Genomic DNA, 20,727 nt, shown 5'->3' on the forward strand with positions numbered 1-20,727 from the left:
AGGCTGAGTCGGGAGAATGGCTTGAACCCAGGAGGCAGAGGTTGTAGTGAGCTGAGATCACACCATTGCACTCCAGCCTGAGCAACAAGAGCAAAACTCTGTCTCCAAAAAAAAAAAAAAAAAAAGACTGGAGGAGGAAGTAAAAAGAACACAAGAGAAAAACAAACAAACAAAATAGCTAGTTCTCAGTGGGGAAAGAAAGCAAAATAATTTATCAAGTATGAAAAGCAACAAATGAAAGCTGTTTTCTTTTGAGACGGAGTTTCGCTCTTGTTGCCCAGGGTGGAGTACAATGGCGCGATCTCTGCTCACCGCAACCTCCGCCTCCCAGGTTTAAGCGATTTGCCTGCCTCAGCCTTCCCAAGTAGCTGGGATTACAGGAATGCGCCATCATGCCCAGCTAATTTTTGTATTTTTAGTAGAGACGGAGTTTCTCCATGTTGGTCACGCTGGTCTTGAACTTCCGACCTCAGGGGATCCACCCGCCTTGGCCTCCCAAAGTGCTGGGATTACAGGCGTGAGCCACCGCGCCTGGCCACGAAAGCTTTTTCATTTAATCTACATAATAAACACATATTGCTATTCTCTTATGTATGAGACTCTAAGAACACAGTCTCATGAGTATGAGGGTCTCATACAAGTCTCAAAGTCAACAGGCACTGAGTAGCCAAGTCAGGATTTAGAGCTCATTTTGTGGTTACAGGAAGGACAAAAAGTAAATAAGCCCATAATGTCGTGTACATTCAGAATTTTTATTTTAAAACAAAGAACCAGAGTAACAATAGAAAATCCATATGGAAATATTCACAATCTTCTCAGTGAGAAATGGGACCCTGCCTTACTGCCAACCTACTGTTTGAGGAGCCAGAAGTTGACATGAAGTTGCAAGGTCACCTTTTCAAGCTAAAGCACACTTGATAGCTATGTGCATTTTTTTTTTTTTGAGACGGAGTCTCGCCCTGTGGCCCAGGCTAGAGTGCAATGATGCGATCTCCGCTCACTGCAACCCCTGCGTCCCGGGTTCACATGATTCTCCCGCCTCAGCTTCCCAAGTAGCTGGGATTACAGGCGCCCGCCACCACGCCCGGCTAATTTTTGCATTTTTAGTAGAGACAGGGTTTCACGATGTTGGCCAGACTGGTCTCGAACCCCTGACCGCCCGCCTAGGCCTCCCAAAGTGCTGGGATTACAGGCGTGAGCCACCGCATCCGGCCTCAGCTACGTGCATTTTTATTCAAAGGCTCCAGGAGCAGAGGGAACAGTGAGAACTAAGAACCAAAATACTGTCACTGACAAGGGTTTGGCTAAAGGGTCTGAGATGTGTAAGCACCAAGAAGGGAAAGGGAGACTGAGCAACATATGAAAAAGGGGCTGTAGGAACAAACACAGAGAAAATAAGTCAACAATAACGTACTTCCACCCAGAGCAAAGTGACAGTGCACATACATTCATCCTCTCAAGTGTGGGCTACACTGCACATTGACTCATACTGTCTAAACCTGGTTTATTGGAAAGATTCAAGTCCCCTGAGGGCATTCGGCATAGGACCACAGTGACATGGTAACAGACATACGCAAGCGTGCCGTGAGCCTAAAGCAACAACACACTTTAGATAATAATCGCTCAGAAAAAAATCCTCTCCCAGAGCTGAGGTTACAAATTCCAAGTTTGCTATAAACATTCTTTGGGGAATTCCTTTAAAGGTATGAGTTAAAATACAACAGAAAATCAACACCTAAAATCTCCTAAAGAACAAAGTGGAAAAATAATGAATCTCTACCAAGAACCAATTATTTTAGGTTTCTTATTTGGATGGCTCTCCCACGAGATAGGTGGCGGGATTACTTCAAAAGTAATGAGACTACTACAAGAAGGAGTTATTTCATCCAGTGAGGGGAACAGGCTTTCTAGAAATCACTTTCTCTTCCCTGGACTCCATCCAAAATTAGAACCCATCAACCATCATTAACTACAATGCCCATATTAGTTAATAATCCTAGATTTCAAGTACTACTACATGTAAACTATTATCTTAAAGAAAAAAGCTCCAAAGGAAATCAGTAGCTTTATTATATAGGTATATGACTTTTACGAGAAGTTAAAGAGTTTCCATCTGAAGGACAGAAATTGTTAAGAGGTAACGTACAGACCTCAGGCACCACATCATTTACCCTCCAATAATGAACAACATTTCTCCCTAAATTCTTATTGCACCTTAACCTCTCCAGCATCAAATCTTCTACTCTATAACCTCTCTTTAAACACCTCCCTCTAATCTCAATTTCCTTCTGTTTTTATTATTTGGCAAAATTACGCTTAAAAAAATAAATATTTCCATCATGGCATATATATACCTATGTAACAAACCTGCACATTCGGCACATGTATCCTGAAACTTAAAGTTAAAAAAAAAAAATTATGTAATTAAACCAGAGGATAAAATAAATAAAACTCAAGTTAATTTGCCACGTAGAGCTGTATGGAAGTGAGGAAGGTGCTCTTACATAAACACCCTCCGGCTTCCACACTCATATGTATCTGCTTCCTGGTAAGTCTGAGGTTGGGGGAACTGCACCTTACTTTTCCTCTCCTATATCCCCTAGTGCGGCAATATCAGAACCCAAGGGAGGAAAAGCTGGCAAAGTTGTCATGTGCCAAGCGGCCAATCCCTCCTGAAATGAAGGTAGGTTCACTCGGTCTCTCCTAAGCAGAAGAGGATGTCCAGGAAATAAAATTTAAAAAGCCATTGAAGATCCAACAAACCGCAGCCTTGGGGTGCTCATGGAGTGCGTGGGATGAGAAAGGAATTAAGTAGCAGCATTCAGAAGCGTCCTGGGTTCATCCTGATGAGGTCTCTCCCTTGTTGAGGGAGAGGTGGCTTTCCCATGCCGGGAGGGAGGTGGAAGGAGGCACGACTTAGACATTGGTGGTGGTCTCCTTAGCAGGCTCGATGCTGTTCATCTCCATGACGCCGTCCTTTCCAGATCTATCTGCACCGTGTGCCTGCCCTTCAAAGGCCCGTGTGATATCCTCAAAAGTCCTGCCACGGGTCTCAGGGACTTTGAAGAAGGTAAAAGCCAAGAAGGTAATGAGGAAGCCGGTGAAGATAATAAAAACGTAGGCTCCTAAATAGTGCTAGAGAAAGGACAGAAAAAAGGAAGGTTGATATAAAAATCTGGTCATTGACAAAGTCAATTTCCTTCACATTCATATTTCCAATAGGCTTCAAGCTATAACCCTTCCATATTTAATGAAAACAGGTTTCTTCAGATTCGCTTATGATTCCATTGCTAACTTACTGTAGTTCTCTCTAGTTTTCTTTCTGTCATTCCATTTCATTACAGTTAGATGCTTCCAAATGTCTACTGAGTATTTTTGGACTTTTGAGTATTATTTTTAAAATCTGTGTTTCTGGGCCGAGTGCGGTGGCTCACGCCCATAATCCCAGCACTTTGGGAGGTCAAGGTGGGAGGATCACTGGAACCCAGCAGTTTGAGACTAACCTGGGCAACTCCATCTCTATTTATGAATTTTTTTTTTTTTGAGACGGAATCTCGCTCTGTCACCCAGGCTGGAGAGCAGAAGGTTGATCACAGCTCACCATGAACACCTCCTGGGTTTAAGTGATTCTCTTGCCTCAGTCTTCTGAGTAGCTAGGACTACAGGTGTGTGCTACCGCAATGGTGTGATCTCGCTCACTGGGATTACAGTCATGAGCCACGACACCCGGCCTAATTTTTGTATTTATTGTAGAAACAGGGTTTCACCATGATAGTCAGGTTGGTCCCCAACTCCTGACCTCAAGTTATCCACCCGCCTAGGCCTCTCAAAGTGCTGGAATTACAGGCTTGAGCCACTGTGTCTGGCCGCAAATTAAACTTTATGAATTATTTATTTCTGCAATTTTCCATTTAATATTTTTAGACTACAGGTAACTGAAACTGAAGAAGAGGAGGGACTGCTGTATTTTTTTATTTATTTAGGGATGGAGTCTTGCTTCCATCGAGCAGGCTAGAGTGCAGTAACGCGATCTCAGCTCGCTGCAACCTCCACCTCCCAGGTTTAAGCGATTCTCCTTCCTCGATCTCCCAAGTAGCTGGAATTACAGGCATGCACCACCATGCCCAGCTAATTTTTGAATTTCACCATGTTGGCCAGGCTGGTCTTGAACTCCTGACCTCAGGTGATCCACCCGCCTCAGCCTCCCACAGTGCTAGGATTACAGGCATGAGCCACCATGCCAGGCCCAGACTACTGTATTATTAAGGAGTATCTTCATGTCAGCTTACATAGGCTGGTTTTAAGATAAGGTGAGTTTACTTACAGCAGCGGAGGGGAAGAGCAATCCGACTAGGAAGTTGGAGGTCCAGTTGGAGCAGCCGGCCACTGCCATCGCAGCTGGGCGGGGGCCCTGGCTGAAGAGTTCGGCCACAATAAACCAGGGAATGGGGCCTGGTCCAATTTCAAAGAAGGCTACAAAGACCAAGATAGCCCCAATACAGACAAAGCTCATCCCATTATAGTTATCCTGTAAGAGCAAGGAACAGAGAAAATTAAATTTAAAGACAGTGTAACCTAGTATCTAGGTTCCCAGAAGCAATTAACGGCAAGCTCCTCCTGTCCCTGACGTACAATACAAAGAGTGGCTGTGGAGTCAAAAGGCTTGGATTTATTTTTATTTTTATTTTTTGAGACAGGGTCTTACTCTGTTGCCCATGCTGGAGGGCAGTGGCACTACAATAGCTCACTGCATCATCGATCTCCTGGGCATAAGCAATCCTCCCACCTCAGCCTCTCAAATCGCTTGGACTTGAAGCATGTGCCACCACACCTGCCTAATTAAAAAAAAATTTTTTTTTTGGCCAGGAGCTGTGGCTCACGCCAAGGCAGGTGGATTATCTGAGGTCAAGAGTTGGAGACCAGCCTGGCTAACATGGTGAAACACAGTCTCTACTAAGAAGTACAAAAATTAGCTGAGCGTGGTGGCACGTGCCTATAATCCCAGCTACCTGGGAGGCTGAGGCAGCAGAAACACTTAAGCCCAGGAGGCAGAGGTTGCAGTGAGCTGAGATCCTGCCACTGCTCTCCAGCCTGGTGACAGAGTGAAACCCTGTCTCAAAAAAAAAATTTTTTTTTGTTTTTTTGTAGAGAAAGTTTCTTGCCATGTTGCGTAGGCTGGTCTTGAACTTCTGGGCTCAAGCAATCCTCTAACCTTGGCCTTCCAAAGTGTTGTGATGACAGGCATGAACCACTGCGCCCAGCCAGGATTGGATTTTTTTTTTTTTTTTTGAGAGAGAGTTTCGCTCTTGTCGCTCAGGCTGGAGTGCAATGGCACCATCTCAACTTACCACAACCTCTGCCTCCTGGGTTCAAGCAATTCTCCTGCCTCAGCCTCCCAAGTAGCTGACATTAGAGGCATGCACCACCACTCCTGGCTAATTTTCTATTTTTAATAGAGACGGGGTTTCTCCATGTTGGTCAGGCTGGTCTTGAACTCTCGACATCAGGTGATCCGCCTGCCTCACCCTCCCAGTGTGCTGGGATTACAGGCGTGAGCCACCGCGCCCAGCTGAGGATTGAATTTTTCAATCCCATCTATATGATCTCATATATGTCACTTTGTACTGAGACCATGTCATCATCTATTAAGTGTGATTACCTTGATATTATTCTAAGAATTAAATTAGATAATTTATTTTATAAGCTATAATAATGTTCTATAAATGTAAGGATTCTAACAGTTTACCTCCAGTTCTCTGACGACCCATGTTTCTTAAACTCTGGGCATCCTGCTTCTCTCCTCTGACTTTATTGACAAACTGCAACCTTAACAACCCACCCCTTGTGTCACAGAAGTCAACTGTAACCTCTCTTCTTTCCCCCTCCCTTTTTTTTCACCCAAAGAGCACCTACCTTTAATAACAAAGAAACAGTCATGAGCGTGGAACAAAAAGCCATCCCTCCAAGGCCTATCATATGCAGAGTCCTTCTTCCTGCCCTTTCCACCAGAAATAGCTGGAAGAAGAATATGACATGAAACTTCAGTTTTCCTTTCCATGAAAACAGCATCTGAGCTACTTGAAATCTGCCTTACCAACAGCAGGACACTTGTTATGGATACCCCTCCTGTGATTTATGATTTTATATACATACATATTGTGTGCCATTCACAGGTCCTGGCTCAAAATCCCCATAGCCCTTGGTAGAGTCTTTTGTCATAATGTTGGGATGCTTCAGGCCTCAGGAGCAGGCCTCAGATAACAGAATTCTTCTCTGACTTTCTCCTGCCCTCCCACTTGGCAGGACGCTAATCTGACTGTGGGTCATAAAACCCTCATTTCAGAGAGGGTCCTGCCCCACACCCTAGAGGAAGAAACGCTACAGAGAGGCCAACAAATCATCTAAGCAGACAGGCCCAGCTGGGTTCAGATCATTCCCTTTTTGTCCAATCACAGGTCAGAACAGTTGTCCATGCTTCAATCATGGAGAACCAATTAAGTCTGCATAAAAGGCCCAAAAGGCAGGGTATGGGGAGCTTCCAGATATCTGAACCCGTGGAAGCTGACAGGAAGGTCAGCAACAACTCATCTATGTGCTAGGAGTGCACCCCAACCCCACAGAGACAGAAGCTCCCATGCTCAGGATCCCTCCAGACCTCGCCCCGTGAATCTCTTCATCTGGTTGTGTATTTCTGTGCTTTAAAATATCCTTTAAATCAAACTAGGAAACAATTTTCCTGAGTTTTGTGAGCCACTGTAGCAAATTAATCAAACCCAAAGAGGATGTCGTGGGAATCCTGATCTACAGCTGGTGAGTCAGAAGCACAGGTAAAACAACCTGGAGCTTGTGACTGGCATCAGGAGTGGGGGGCAGTCTTGGGAACTGGGCCACCAACCTGTGAGATCTGATGCTATCTCCAGGTAGACAGTGTCATAATTAAAAAATCGCAGGACACCTAGATGGTGTCCACTACGGAACTGATTGCACACCTCACGGGGAAAAATTCTCACATATTCTGGGGATCACAGATAACTTCTGTTGATTATTGTTGTTTTAGTGTAAAAACAGTGGAGTAACAGAGCTTGAGAGTTTTTCCAAGCACCTTTCCTCCAATTCCAAGTTCAAAGCATACTATATAGTCCCTTCTATACTCCCTCCTTTCCCATCCATCCCATATTTGCTTGAAGAGTGAAGACTACATCCAACATTAAATTTATCTCTTTTTCCCAAAGGAAAATTAAGCAACAAAAAGGTAACTAAATGATGGTAGGGTCATGCAATCCATCTTTGAACATCTGTAGCAAGGATTCTTTTCTCCCCTCAAAATTACCAAACCATCCAACTTACAGAAACTACAGTGAAGATAGTATTAACCACACCCGCGCCGATGGTGGCATAGATGGGCTCTTGAACACCTGCATCCTTGAAGATTCCTGTTGAGTAATAGAACACCTAGGAGAAAAGAAAACATGCAGCTTTGATGCAATTCTGCACACCAGTTACACAGAACCCTCAAAAATAAACTTAAAAGTCCCAGTGGGTAAGAAGTCCTTTTTCTAGGTTTTCGTTCAATACTAATATCCCTTCTGCAAATGAATTATCTTCTGTATCTTATCTCCTAGTCTGGATCTGTCACCCAGGCAGGAGTGCAGTGGCACAATCTCAGCTCACTGCTACCTCCACCTCCCAGATTCAAGCGATTCTCCTGCCTCAGCCTCCTGAGTAGCTGGACTACAGGTGCCTGCAACCACACGCAGCTAATTTTTGTAGTTTAAGTAGAGATGGGTTTTCACCTTGTTGGCCAGGCTGGTCTCGTACTCCTGACCTCAAGTGACCTGCTCGCCTTGGCCTCCCAAAGTGCTAGGATTACAGGCATGAGCCACCGCACCTGGCCCTCCTTTCTCTCTCTAAATGTTCTTAATTCTAGCTACTCATTTACATTGTTTCTTCTAAAAATGCTTATTCCCACTGTTCCATTTCCTCTTGCTTATGTCCACTTCACTAACTTACATAAAGGTGTAATTCCTACTAACTGGTTTCTTTTTTATAAGTTGAGACAGCAACTCACTGTTGCCCAGGCTGGTCCTAAACTCTTGGTCTCAAGTGATCCTCCTGCCTCTCAGCCTCCCAAGTTGCTGGGATTATAGGCATGTGCCATCAGGCCCAGCTAAATGCTTTTTTAATTGGCTCTTCCCCAAACTCTCAAAACATTGATAGGGACATCGATGTCTCAATTTGATAGTGAACTAATTGAATAACCTTATCCTGCTCATTGAATAAGCAGAGGTTGGGCTGTATTTCCTAGGCCTAGGCCCTTTTGAAGTGTTTTATGAAATAATACCAGCTACTAATGCAATTTAATATATATTAAATAAATTATTATGTTGTTTGCTAGGCACTGTGCTAAAATCTAAAGTTGCTATAACTACCATAGTTAAGAGATATTAAAATACTGGACTCAGACCTCAAGTTAACAAGGGAACATTATCTAGGTTACCGAGGTTCACTTCAGTTTATTTCACCCAGAGTATTTGCCTCCATAGCAATATTTATTAGTCTTTTTTATGAATATGGACCTCTACATTGGGATTTACCTTCTCACGAAACAACTCTTTAAATCCCTAGTACGTAAGATGTAAACTATGTATATTCATATTTTCTAAAATAAGATAATTGTGTTTTGAAACTGAGATTTGTAGAGTCATTATTGAAAAACCTGCTGCTCTAGGGCTAATTAACACTGTTAAGAAATCTCAACATATTATATGATGGCGTCAAGCTTGTGGGGAAATATATTAGGCTAGTGCAAAAGTAATTACTTGAGCAGTTTAAACAAGCAATAAATAGGTATGCCAATTCTTTTCCTTAACATAATGTCTACACGTCAAAAACCTAATGTACATGTACTCATCTCAATAAAATTTCTCATAGTAAAATGACTTTGCTATCTAGTGTCACCAAGCAAGGTAACCCCTACATCATCTCACCTAAATAGTTTACTCTGCTAGGTAAACATGATACAATGCAACCTCTTACCCATCTGCCCATAAGGGAAATTAGAAATCATCATTTGTGCAAAGTAGGTTGGAAAAGTGATTTCCAAGCCTGCTGTGCATCAGATTTATTTTTTTACAGACAACTTTCAGGTCTCTTACACAGAGATTCTCAAATTCAGCTGACTCAGGAATCCCAACCCCCATAATTCTGATGCAGCCAGCTTTGGGTGAGATTATACCTAGCGCAAAATCTACTCATTGACTAAATTGGGAGCCAGCTTAGTCCAACAATAATTAATGTACATGCCGGGCGAGGTGGGTCACACCTGTAAGGCCGGCACTTTAGGAGAGAGAGCTGAGGTGGGTGGATCACCTGAGGTCAGGAGTTTGAGACCAGCCTGGCCAACATGGTGATATCCCTCTATTCTCTACTAAAAATACGAAAAAATAAGCAAGGTATGGTGGTGGGCACCTGTAATCTGGGCTGTAATCCCACCTGTAATCTCGGGAGTCTGAGGCAGGAGAATCATTTGAACCCAGGAGATGGAGGTTGTGGTGAGCTGAGATTGCGCCACAGCACTCCAGCCTGGGTGACAGAACAAGACTTCACCTCAAAAAAAGGATGGGCCAGGCGCAGTGGCTCACGCCTATAATCCCAGCATTTAGGAAGGCCGTGGCAGGCGGATCATGAGGTCAAGAGATCGAGACCATCCTGGCCAACATGGTGAAACCTGTTCTCTACTAAAAATACAAAAATTAGCCAGGCATGGTGGCACACGCCTGTAGTCCCAGCTACTCGGGAGGCTGAGGCAGGAGAATCGCTTGAACCCAGGAGGTGGAGGTTGCAGTGAGCCGAGATCGTGCCACTGTACTCCAGCCTGGGCGATCGAGTGAGACTCTGTTTCAAAAAAAAAAAGAATGTACACACCATACTCTGAAATGGCAGGAGTCTGTCCCTCAGACTGCTCACGGATCACTTGTCATTTCTCACAGGTGATCTTTTACTGATCCTGTTTTGCAGGGCCTGGACTGTGGTGAGGCAGCTAGGGAGTTGCCTCAGGTGCATTCTTTCATTCTTTCTTTTTTCTTTTTTTAAACAGGCACAGAACTAACGCAAGGTACATTCTTTAAAGAGGTGCTCATTCTCAGGGCTACACTTGCACGTAGCTGCCTCACCTGCCTAGTCCCAGCTCTGCTGCTCTGGAAAGTCTCGGGAGCACATTTTTCTCCAGTAATACGTGTGGCCTACATTATCATTTCCAAATGAAGAAATTTGAGACTGGGATTCATCAAAATCACCTAGGAGGCTTTTTCTAACTACTGTGTATTTCCTCCCAAGTTTTTTTTTTAAAGACAGGGTCATACTATATTTCCCAGGCTTGACTCCTGGGCCTAAGTGATATTCCCACCTCAGCCTCCCGAGTAGTAGCTGGGACTACAGGCATGAGCAGCCACCACACTTGGCTCCTCATAGATTCTGACATAACAGCCTCTAACCCCTCATAAGAAGCACTGCCACTTCAAATACAAATATCCTGGTGTGCTAGGTAGGAGAAAAGTTCCAAGAACCAACTTACTATTTTGAGCATCAAAATGCTCAAAATAGTAAGTTTTGCAAAATGCTTTGTTACAAAATAATTTAATCCCATTGATCAAAGACTATCTGAAAACCCTTAGGGGATGAATCAGTATTTAAAAAGGTGGGACAAGGGTGCTCTTAATATCCATATTGACTAGAAGGCACAGGAATACTCTCTTCCTACAATCCACAGTCAAATGCAGGAAGCTGATATTTGCATGGAATACAAGGGCTACCTGCCAAATGCTAGCTTCCGTTGTGCCGCCCTCTTTAAACTATCATCTATCATGCCCTCTTTAAACTACCATGCTCGCTATACTAGTTGTAAAAACAGACTGGTAAAGTCAGTTCACTCTGAAGTTGCCAGTGTCCTTCCAGGGTCTTTTTTTTTTTTCCTTTTTTTAAATTTCAGAGACACAGTCTCACTCTGTCTCCCAGGCTGGAATGCAGTGGCATAATTATAGCTCACTGCAACCTGAAACTCCTGAGCTCAAGTGATCCTCTTACCTCAGCCTCCTGAGTAGCTGGGACTACAGAGGCACACCGCCACCATGCCCGGCATTTTAAGTGAAATACTTTAAGACACGTTTGACCCTAAAGTATCACACTCACAGCATTGATCCCAGAGAGCTGCTGAGAGAGCTGGAGCACAATGGAAATGATGATGGGCTGTCGGTAGCTGGACACTCTAAAGAGCTCTAGCACGGTGACTTGCTTTTCTTGTGACATCCTTGCACTCTCATCTTTCATCTCCTGGATGTCTTGGGATACATCCTGGGTGCCCCACAACCGCTGGAGGACTGGTGAAAAGAAGAAAGAGGAAAGGATAAAAGAGAATGTGCTGCCCCAAATTCATTCTTCCTGTAAGGCAGCCAGGAAAGGGCCGCACGAGGTGAGGTGATGGGTAGCATCCATTCCTTTTTTTTTTTTTGAGACAGAGTTTCACTTTTGTTGCCCAGGCTGGAGTGCAATGGCATGATCTCAGCTCCCTGCAACCTCCACTTCCCGGGTTCACACGATTCTCCTGCCTCAGCCTCCCAAGTAGCTGGGATTACAGGCATGCGCCCCCATGCCCGGCTAATTTTGTATTTTTAGTAGAGACAGGGTTTCTCCATGTTGTTTCAGGCAGGTCTTGAACTCCTGACCTCAGGTGACCCGCCTCGGCCTCTTATAATGCTGGATTACAGGCATGAGCCATCACACCCTGCCTGATAGCATCCATTCCTAAACCCGCCTTTTCACCTCATTCTTTAGGGGCTGAAAATTTTACTCAGGAGTAATCAGAACCCTCCTCACTTGGATTCTGAGAGGCAGGGAAAGAGTGTAACAGAAAGTAGGTCCAGTACAATCATCCCTAAAACAAACCACAACCATATAATTCATGTAGTAAGGTGTGAAGGATACTCACTCTGCTTAGCATTCTCCTCTTCTTTTCTGTTAATGAGCAAAAATCTGGGACTTTCAGGGCAAAATGGAAGGGCTGCACTTTGTAGGATAGCAGGAAGGATGGTAAAACCCAGTAGCAGCGGCCATAGCTCTTCAGACCCAAGGATGAATTCCAGACCAAAGATCTAGAAACCACACAAAGATAATGCTATAAACCCCATACTTCACAGGCCACAAGTTCATTAAAACACAAAAAGTTCAGAAAATCATACATTCTTTTACCATGTGAAAAAATAAACAAATTGTGTTTCTTTTCCTTTCTCTACTCAGCATGGTTTTTTTTTTTTTTTTTTTTTTGAGACGGAGTCTTGCTCTGTCACCCAGGCTGGAGATCAGTGGCACAATCTCGGCTCACTGCAAACTCTGCCTACCGGGTTCACGCCATTCTCCCGCCTCAGCCTCCGGAGTAGCTGGGACTACAGGTGCCCGCTACCACGCCCGACCAATTTTTTGTGTTTTTAGTAGAGATGGGGTTTCACCATGTTAGCCAGGCTGGTCTTCATCTGCTGACCTCGTGATCTGCCCACCTCGGCCTCCCAAAGTGCTGGGATTACAGGCGTGAGCCACAGCGCCCGGCCTCAGCCTGCTTCTTCAGCTACTATCTATTATCTAAAACTTCCATATGTAATTGAACATGTGCCAGATATTCTTCAGTGCTTTACCTATGTTAACTTTTTTAATGACCCATGAAACTAACACTCATTAAGTATGAGAAGTTCTAGAGTACCTGGGCCACCAGAATTCCAACAACGATGCCCAGCTGGTTGAGAGTGCCAAAGGCACCCCGCAGGGCAGTAGGCGAGATCTCTCCAATGTACATGGGCACAAAACCTGTGCAGAGTCCGCAGAAGAGGCCAATAACCAAGCGACCCAGGATCAGCATTTCAACCGACTTAGCTACTTTACACAGTCCCATAAAGCAGCCACCAGTGACAGCCAACAGGTTGACAATCAGCATTGAATTGCGCCTGTAAGGTTAATCAAAGACAAAGTAGAATTAGCAAAGTGAGAGGCTCCTAACTTCTCCTCTGTCCTCATTATTCTGTTCTTCTCCAGGCTCATATCATCCCTTTTTTTTTTAATCTAACTTTTGTTTTTCACTTTCTATTATCAGAACATTTCTAGTTGGGAACCAGGTGTGATGGTGCCCGCCTGTAGTCCCAGGCACTCAGGGAGCTGAGGTCGGAGGTCGAAGCTGTAGTGAGCTATGATTGGGCCATTACACTCCAGCCCGGGTGACAGAGCAAGACCCTCTTTCTTGGGGGGTAAAAAAACAAAAGAACAACATAATCAAGTAAAACAGGTTGCTTTACCGATTTTTAAATGTGAATTCCAATTGCATTTCTAGAATATCTAATTGGCATTTTTTTTTTTTTTTTTTGGAGACGGAGTCTTGGTCTGTCACCCAGGCTGGAGTGCAGTGGCAGGATCTCGGCTCACTGCAACCTGCGCCTCCCAGGCTCAAGAGATTCTCCTGCCTCAGCTTCCAAGCAGCTGGGATTGCAGGCGCATGCCACCACGCCCGGCTAATTTTTTGTATTTTTAGTAGGGACAGGGTTTCACCGTGTTAGCCAGGATGGTCTCGATCTCCTGACCTTGTTATCTGCCCGCCTCAGCCTCCCAAAGTGCTGGGATTACAGGCGTGAGCCACGGCACCGGCTTTTTTTTTTTTGAGACGGGGTTTTGCTCTTTCGCCCAGGCTGGTGTGAAGTGGCCAGATCTCAGCTTACTGCACCCTCTGCACCCCCACTGCAGGTTCAAGTGATTTTCCTGCCTCAGCCTCCGGAGTAGCTGGAATTATAGGTGCCTGTCACTACGCCCGGCTAATTTTTGTATTTTTGGTAGAGACAGGGTTTTGCCATGTTGGCCAGGCTGGTCTCGAACTCCTGACCTCAGCTGATCCACTTGCCTCGGTTTCCCAAAGTGCTAGGATTACAGGGGTGAGCCACCACACCGTGCCTAATTGGCAAATTAAAACAGTTCCTTCATTAGTCATAAATGAAAATATATTCTACCTTCTAAAACATATTGTTAAGCTTCTATAGAATAAGACTTTTTTTTTGTCATTATCCACATTTGCCATAGACAAAAATAATTCCTACCAATCCTGGGTAAAATAATAAAAACATTTATAATACAAGTAAACAACTTCGGACCTTGTAAATTAAGTATGTTTCTAGAAACCCCATAGTTGAGTTTACTAGGGAATAATTCTGAACTATCCCTAGCTGGACTGCAAAGGCCAATCACTCACAGTTCATCTCTTGCACAGCTGGGTGGGAGCTCTCCAGGGTAGTAGAGCTCCAAGCAAGGGCAGTCATATTCGGGGCCAGTTGGACTAGGTTTCCCTTGATTAGAATTCAAGGTGTTCTTATTCAAAGGCATCATCACCTCCCTGCCCTAACTCTCCACACTTGTCCTCAATGTGGCTGGTAGAGCCCACTTCCTTGCCCAGTTTCTAGTCAATACCTGCCAAAGCGGTTGACGAAGAGTCCGACGGAAAAGGAGCCGATCATACCCCCGACGGAAAATATGGCCACAGACAAGGACCAGAGAGACGTGAGCAGCACCTCAGAGGGTGGGGCATTTCCCTTGTCCGTCAAAGTTTTATTGATAAATTCCTTTATGATCTGCAAAATAAAAGGGTTGGTGGAAGAACAGACTGTTACAGTTGGATGAGAACAAAAGACAAACATTAGGGATCATTTCCTTCCTAGAGAATCAAGGGAATAAATAGACAGGAATGGAAGGGGCAGATAACGTATTGGAATTTATGTTAACTCTCGCTGGAATAGTAATTCTATTTGTCCTGAAAATCCCAGTAGGTGGCAGCACCGATGTTCACAGTCTACCCCAGCCCTCTGCTAAGGGAACCCAGCTTCTTTGTAACTAACCCCTAAGGGATAATACAGGATGTGCATCACTATGAGGTGAAAGAGTGGGAGGAAGAACAGCACCGCCCAGCGTTCCGGGAGTAAGTGAGCTTTGTGCTTCGATTAGATGACCCCACTAATTTTCCCCACCAATATTGTCTCCATCTTCAGTCTTGGACAGGATAGATACAAAGTTTGTCTTAAAATCCCCTAGTTTGGGGAGGGACCCTCACTAACTGTGTTGCTCAGGATGGTGTTTAACTCCTGGACTCAAGTGATCTTTAAGCCTCAGCCTCAGGAGTAGCTGGGACTCCAGGCAGATGCCACCATGCCTGGCCTTAAATTCTGAATTCCTGAAACCCTACTTAAAGGAATAACTTCCCTATTCTAAATTCTAATTATTGTGGCCTGGCACTCACCTTCTCAGGAGCATTGATGACCCCAGTGTTGTAGCCAAATTGGAAAGAGCCGATTGTAGCAACTGTGATGGCAAATATCAGAGCTGGGGTGACCTGGAGGGAGGGAAGACAGAGGAGAGAATAGTCCTTAAAACTTGTGATTGATGACTGTTTCTTATTAATTATGGAGCTGTATTAGGAGAATTTGAGTTATGAGTGGTATGAAAAGAACATCCAATGAGATTTAGGTAATTAATGGGGAAGACAAAGGAATAGATTATACTAAAGAACTTATCTGGAGATAAGAATGTGAAGTTAACTTGGTAAAAATGAAAGAAAATTGGGGAAGGAAGAAGTTAAGAGAAACTGGGTTGGTCAGTTTGGAAATATTTAAAAACTTGCATCAGGCAAATGTAGGCATAGAATTCCACTCACGAACTGGGAGGGCAGAGAAAAAGACAGTCTCGGGTAGGATTACTAAGAATTGACCATTCTGGAAACAAATACAGTGCAGTCTGATCTGTACCCCAGACTCCACGGAAGCCCACTGGTGGTGGTGGAGGGGGTGGTAGTTTGTGTCTTCACTGCTGGGTGGCTCTTTGAGTCTCTTATCTCTCAGGACCATGTAACCTACTGGATCTACTCACTGCATCCTGGCCCCATTTCAGTCTTCGTTTATTAAATACAGTTCTGCTATCCCTAACTCCCGCGCAGGGGAAGAAAGTACTTACTCTGAACCCAACATATAAGGGCGAACCCAACATATAAGAGACATTTCTTAGTGGGGAGAACCGGTCATCTTCACCTTGCCTGGAATAATTCAGCCGGGCGAGACATTTTCCATTTCTACCTTGGGGCAGCTCAATTTTTATACCTGAGGCCAACTTCTACGCCATTCCCCCCCACCCCACCACCCAAAATCCCTTCAACCTTTCATATCTTAAACTCCTTTCCTTTCAGGTCGGGCAGATTAGGCAGCAGGCTGGGAGCTTCAGCAGGAGAAGTGACCTTGCCTGCAGCCTCCCAGATGTCTCAGTCCCAGCTAAGCATCGGTACCCCGGAGGGCCCTGCCAGTGCAATGCTCTGTTAAATCTTTTTCCGTTTAGTAAAAATCTCTTCTGTCTCCTCTCATCATTCACTATCTTTGAGAGCCTTTTCTTCTTTAGTCTCATAATTTTCCATCCCTTTCTTATTTTCCTACATTTTCTTTCTTTCTGCTTTGTAGAGATGGGATCTCACTATATTGCCCAAGGCTAGTCTCAAACTCCAGGCCTCATGTGATCCTCCTGCCTTGGTTTCCCAAATGCTGGGGTTATAGGTGTGACCCACCACACCTGGCCCCTTATTTTTAGTTAAATTTATCTTGGTAAAAAATGCCTTTCTTGCTGCGCGCAGTGGCTCATGCCTGTAATCTCAGCACCTTGGGAGGCCGAGGCCGGCGGATCGCCTGAGGTCGGGAGTCGAGACCAGCCTGACCAACATAGAGAAACCCCGTCTCTACTAAAAATACAAAATTAGCCGGGCCCGGTGGTTCATGCCTGTAATCTCAGCTACTCAGGAGGCTGAGGCAGGAGAATCGCTTGAACCCGGGAGGCGGAGGCTGTGGTGAGCTGCGGTCGCTCCATTGCACTCCAGCCTGGGCAACAAGAGTAAAACTCAATCAGAAAAAAAAGAAAAGCCTTTCTCCCTGCAAATAATGCATATACAACACTCAATATTTTAGTATGTCCTGCACTCACGATTTTAACCCTAATAGGAAGGACAACTGGAATTCTTTCTCCTTAGCATCCACGAACCCCATATGTTATAGGACAAACAGATGGCCAGACCCTGGCCTGTGCCTCCAAACACAGACCTTTTCAAGGTCTAATGCTTCCAGAGAAGTCTTCACACTGGCTCTGAGACCCACACTTGTAATCCATACAACCAAGCAGCCCGATCCTCTAAACACTCAACCATCTCGTCCTCAGTGGCATATGGTTACCTAAAATAAACCTGAGAAGCAAACACAACTTCTCCGGGTGACTTTCCTATGATAAGGTGAACAGAACTGTATGACATTCAAAGAGAACTGATGAAGCGGCAGCAGTGCAGGCTAGAGACGAAATGAAAAGGCCTTAAGATAGCTTGGTGACTTAGGAGAAAATAGAACAAGGAGATTACCATTAATATTTGCCTTTCTGAGTGTATCCCAAACAAGCAAAAATAACCAGTAATTATATCATTCTTACCTTCTGTGTCCCCATCGCTGTAATCTAATTCAAGTCTTCAAGAAAGATCTAGGGGTGATTCCAGAAACAGCTTTTTCAGCCAACAAAACCTTCAAAATGTCCTTCTCAGCAGCAAGTTTTCTCCACGTCCTCAGGAAGGATCCAAAGTCTTACCATTACAGCATCTCTGGGTCTCGCTGGGATCATGACTATTTATAATCTCCGCAAAGGGTGGAGCCTGAAAGGGCGACAAGCCCCCAGCCCCACCCCACCCCACCCCACCCCCCTGAAGCAATCTTGTGATCTCTCGGAATTCTGTGTTATCAGAACTACCCCCGCCCCCGCCCCACAGACAATAACGCCCTCCCTCCCCCCTCTCTTAAAACCACATCCTTCCACTCTCTCCACCCTGGGTTTTTTTTTTTTTTTTTTTTTCAAAAGCTCATCCTTACTCCTTCCCTCTTCTAATAGCAGCTAGAGCCTCTTAGTTTCACAGACAAAATACTACCAGAAAAGCCTGGAGGGAGGGCAAATACACTATTTTATGCTCTCGCATCTGCTTGGGATTAAAACAATCTACAGAGAGATTAGAATAAATCTATCCATACAAAACGAAGTCAAGTGGGTGCTACTATCAGAGATTTAAGGTTGTTAGAAAGAGTGTTAGTAAGAATTCTTGATCCTATGAATTTATAGGCTGGGTCTACAATCTTTTTTTTTTCTTTTTTTTTTGAGACGGAGTACACAATCTTAAAGGGGAGGGAAAGACAGCCTGAGAGAAGAAAATCAGGGAAATAATTTTGCCAGTGTTCCTTTCTTCGCATAATCTCACCTGGAGGGAAGAAAATCTGAATTTCTAGGAGCCAGACCAACTATCAGGGCAGTAGGAATAAGAGGTTCAACTGTTTATGGAATACAATCCATATCCTTTTTTTTTTTTTTTTTTTTTTTTTGATATGGAGTCTCTCTCTGTCGCCCAGGCTGGAGTGCAGTGGTGCGATCTCGGCTCACTGCAACCTCCGCCTCCCGGGTTCAAGCAATTCTCCTGCCTCAGCCTCCCGAGTAGCTGGGACTATAGGCGCCCGCCACCACGCCCCGCTAATTTTTGTATTTTTAGTAAAGACGGGGTTTCACCATATTGGCCAGGCTGGTCTCAAACTCCTGACCTTGTGATCTGCCCGCCTTGGCCTCCCAAAGTGCTGGGATTACAAGTGTGAGCCACCGCGCCGAGCCCTATATTTAATAAGGCATTTGCCATATCACCCATTCTGAATTCTGCATCACTTTCTGCTAGTCTCAAGCTTATAGCATCTAGAAATGCAATAAATACCGAATTCAATTAAGCAGGTATTTGCCGAATACACGCTATGTATCAGGTACTCTCCAAGAAGCTGGTGATTCTTCAGTGAATAATAGAAAAAAAGGCCGGGCGCGGTGGCTCACGCCTGTAATCCCAGCACTTTGGGAGGCCGAGGTGGGCGGATCACGAGGTCAGGAGATCAAGACCATCCTGGCTAACACGGTGAAACCATTCTCTACTAAAAATACAAAAAAAAAAAAAAAAAAAAAAAAAATTAGCCGGGCATGGTGGCGGGCGCCTGCAGTCCCAGCTACTCGGGAGGCTGAGACAGGAGAATGGCGTGAACGCGGCAGGCGGAGCTTGCAGTGAGCCAAGACAGCGCCACTGCACTCCAGCCTGGGCGACAGAGCAAGAATCCGTCTCAAAAAAAAAAAAAAAAAAGAATAATAGGACAAAAGAGTTCTGACCCACAAGTCATTTATAGTGTTTCCCTTCTTCCCTTTTTATAAAGTATAAAAAGGGACTAGGGCAAGTAATTCTCACATAACTGGAAAAGATTATTAATATCCTATTAGTTATGGACTGTGAGTTTCTTGAAAGAAAAGTGTTACATAAGTATCTGATTACTAAGCTATACAAGAAAACTGAACAAGCTAAGCAGGAGAAGAAAATAGGAATGAGAACTGAGGGAGGGATAATCGGGGAGAGAGAAGAGTGGTTCCAGGTTGAGAGTAAACAAAGCAAAACAACTTGGTTTGTGTTTAAACAGCTGGGTAAGTGAGAGATAGTATCTAGGCTTTTTTGGAGGAGGAATATCAACTATCAAATTCCTAATGCCCATTCATTTGTAGCTTGCAACCCTTTCAGTACTGGAGGTGGCAGGGTGGGTGAAGGACGCTTGGTAAAGAGATAAACTTTTTCCCAGTGGTGAATTGGAGAAAGTGTATCTTCCTTTAGGGTTTTGGTTGAGGGCCTAGAATTCAAATTGATACTGCTGGACCCGAGAAAACTAGATTACTGTTGCTTCCTTTGCTTTAACGAGGATATTGTTAAAATCTGATTTGATGACAACTCCCCTCCCCCATCTCACCATTGCCTTCCAGGAAATGCTGAGCCAGAGGCCCCTTTAGTCACCACAGCAACTGAATTTAGTATCTAAAGGAAAAAGGATATCCCAAAGGGCAGTGCTGTCCAATAGAAATATAATATGAGCATGTCACATTATGGTTTCTAGTAGCCACACTAAAAATTTTAAAAGAAACAAGATAAATTTTTTTCATAATTATTTTATTTAACCCAATATATCCAAAACATTGTCATTTCAGCATGCATTCAATATAAAAATTAATAGTTTACTTTTTTGTACTAAGTCTTTGAAACATATTGTATATTTTAAATTTACAAATTAAAGGGATATGTAGCCCCACCAAAACAACAAAGTTGTGTTTATCAGGAAAATATTTTAAGTTGCATATCGAGCGTTGCATGCAGGCAAATTGCATACAGCCAAGCCTGGCCGCCTAGCCCAGTCGTACACCAGGGTGGTCTTGATCTCTTGATCTCTCTTTTTTTTTTTTTTTTTTAGACAGAGTCTTGCTCTGTTGCCCAGGCTGGAGTGCAGTGGCGCGATCTCGGCTTACTGCAAGCTCCACCTCCCGGGTTCACGCCATTCTCTTGCCTTAGCCTCCCGAGTAGCTGCGACTACAGGCGCTTGCCACCGTGCCCGGCTAATTTTTTGTATTTTTAGTAGAGACGGGGTTTCACCGTGGTCTCCATCTCCTGACCTCGTGATCATCCCGCCTTGGCATCCCAAAGTGCTGGGATTACAGGCGTGAGCCACCGCGCCCGGCGATCTCTTGATCTCGTGATCCCCCCACCTCAGCCTTCCAAAGTTCTGGGATTGGCTGGGCGCAGTGGCTCATGCC

At 44.5% G+C, this 20,727-nt stretch overlaps 1 protein-coding gene across 1 annotated transcript, besides 3 other annotated features; it reads right to left on the reverse strand.

Moving 5' to 3' along the window:
* Positions 1-733: 733 nt before the first annotated feature.
* On the reverse strand, positions 734-17,691 carry SLC2A3 (solute carrier family 2 member 3). The gene is made up of 10 exons (NM_006931.3): positions 17,524-17,691; positions 15,314-15,406; positions 14,491-14,651; positions 12,749-12,989; positions 11,984-12,146; positions 11,188-11,375; positions 7,348-7,452; positions 5,914-6,015; positions 4,325-4,528; positions 734-3,135 (listed from the first exon to the last, which is right to left on the reverse strand). Exons 1-10 carry the CDS (start codon positions 17,536-17,538, stop codon positions 2,917-2,919), a joined length of 1,491 nt encoding a protein of 496 aa, NP_008862.1. The 5' UTR covers positions 17,539-17,691; the 3' UTR covers positions 734-2,916.
* Positions 15,799-16,752: an enhancer, noted in NCBI's record as "H3K27ac hESC enhancer chr12:8086891-8087844 (GRCh37/hg19 assembly coordinates)". NCBI's record gives its function as "activates a minimal SCP1, AML or CMV promoter by ChIP-STARR-seq in naive H9 embryonic stem cells {active_cell/tissue: H9 hESC(naive)}" and the evidence as "EXISTENCE:reporter gene assay evidence [ECO:0000049][PMID:30033119]".
* Positions 17,820-17,869: a silencer, noted in NCBI's record as "silent region_4205". NCBI's record gives its function as "represses an Ori minimal core promoter by ATAC-STARR-seq in GM12878 lymphoblastoid cells {active_cell/tissue: GM12878}" and the evidence as "EXISTENCE:reporter gene assay evidence [ECO:0000049][PMID:35858748]".
* Positions 19,718-20,065: a transcriptional cis regulatory region, noted in NCBI's record as "candidate enhancer chr12.441 targeted for multiplex CRISPR interference". NCBI's record gives its function as "positively regulates SLC2A3 gene expression with high confidence in K562 cells {active_cell/tissue: K562}" and the evidence as "EXISTENCE:mutant phenotype evidence [ECO:0000015][PMID:30612741]".

Source organism: Homo sapiens, chromosome 12 (assembly GCF_000001405.40).
Source record: "Homo sapiens chromosome 12, GRCh38.p14 Primary Assembly".
Lineage (NCBI taxonomy): Eukaryota > Metazoa > Chordata > Mammalia > Primates > Hominidae > Homo > Homo sapiens.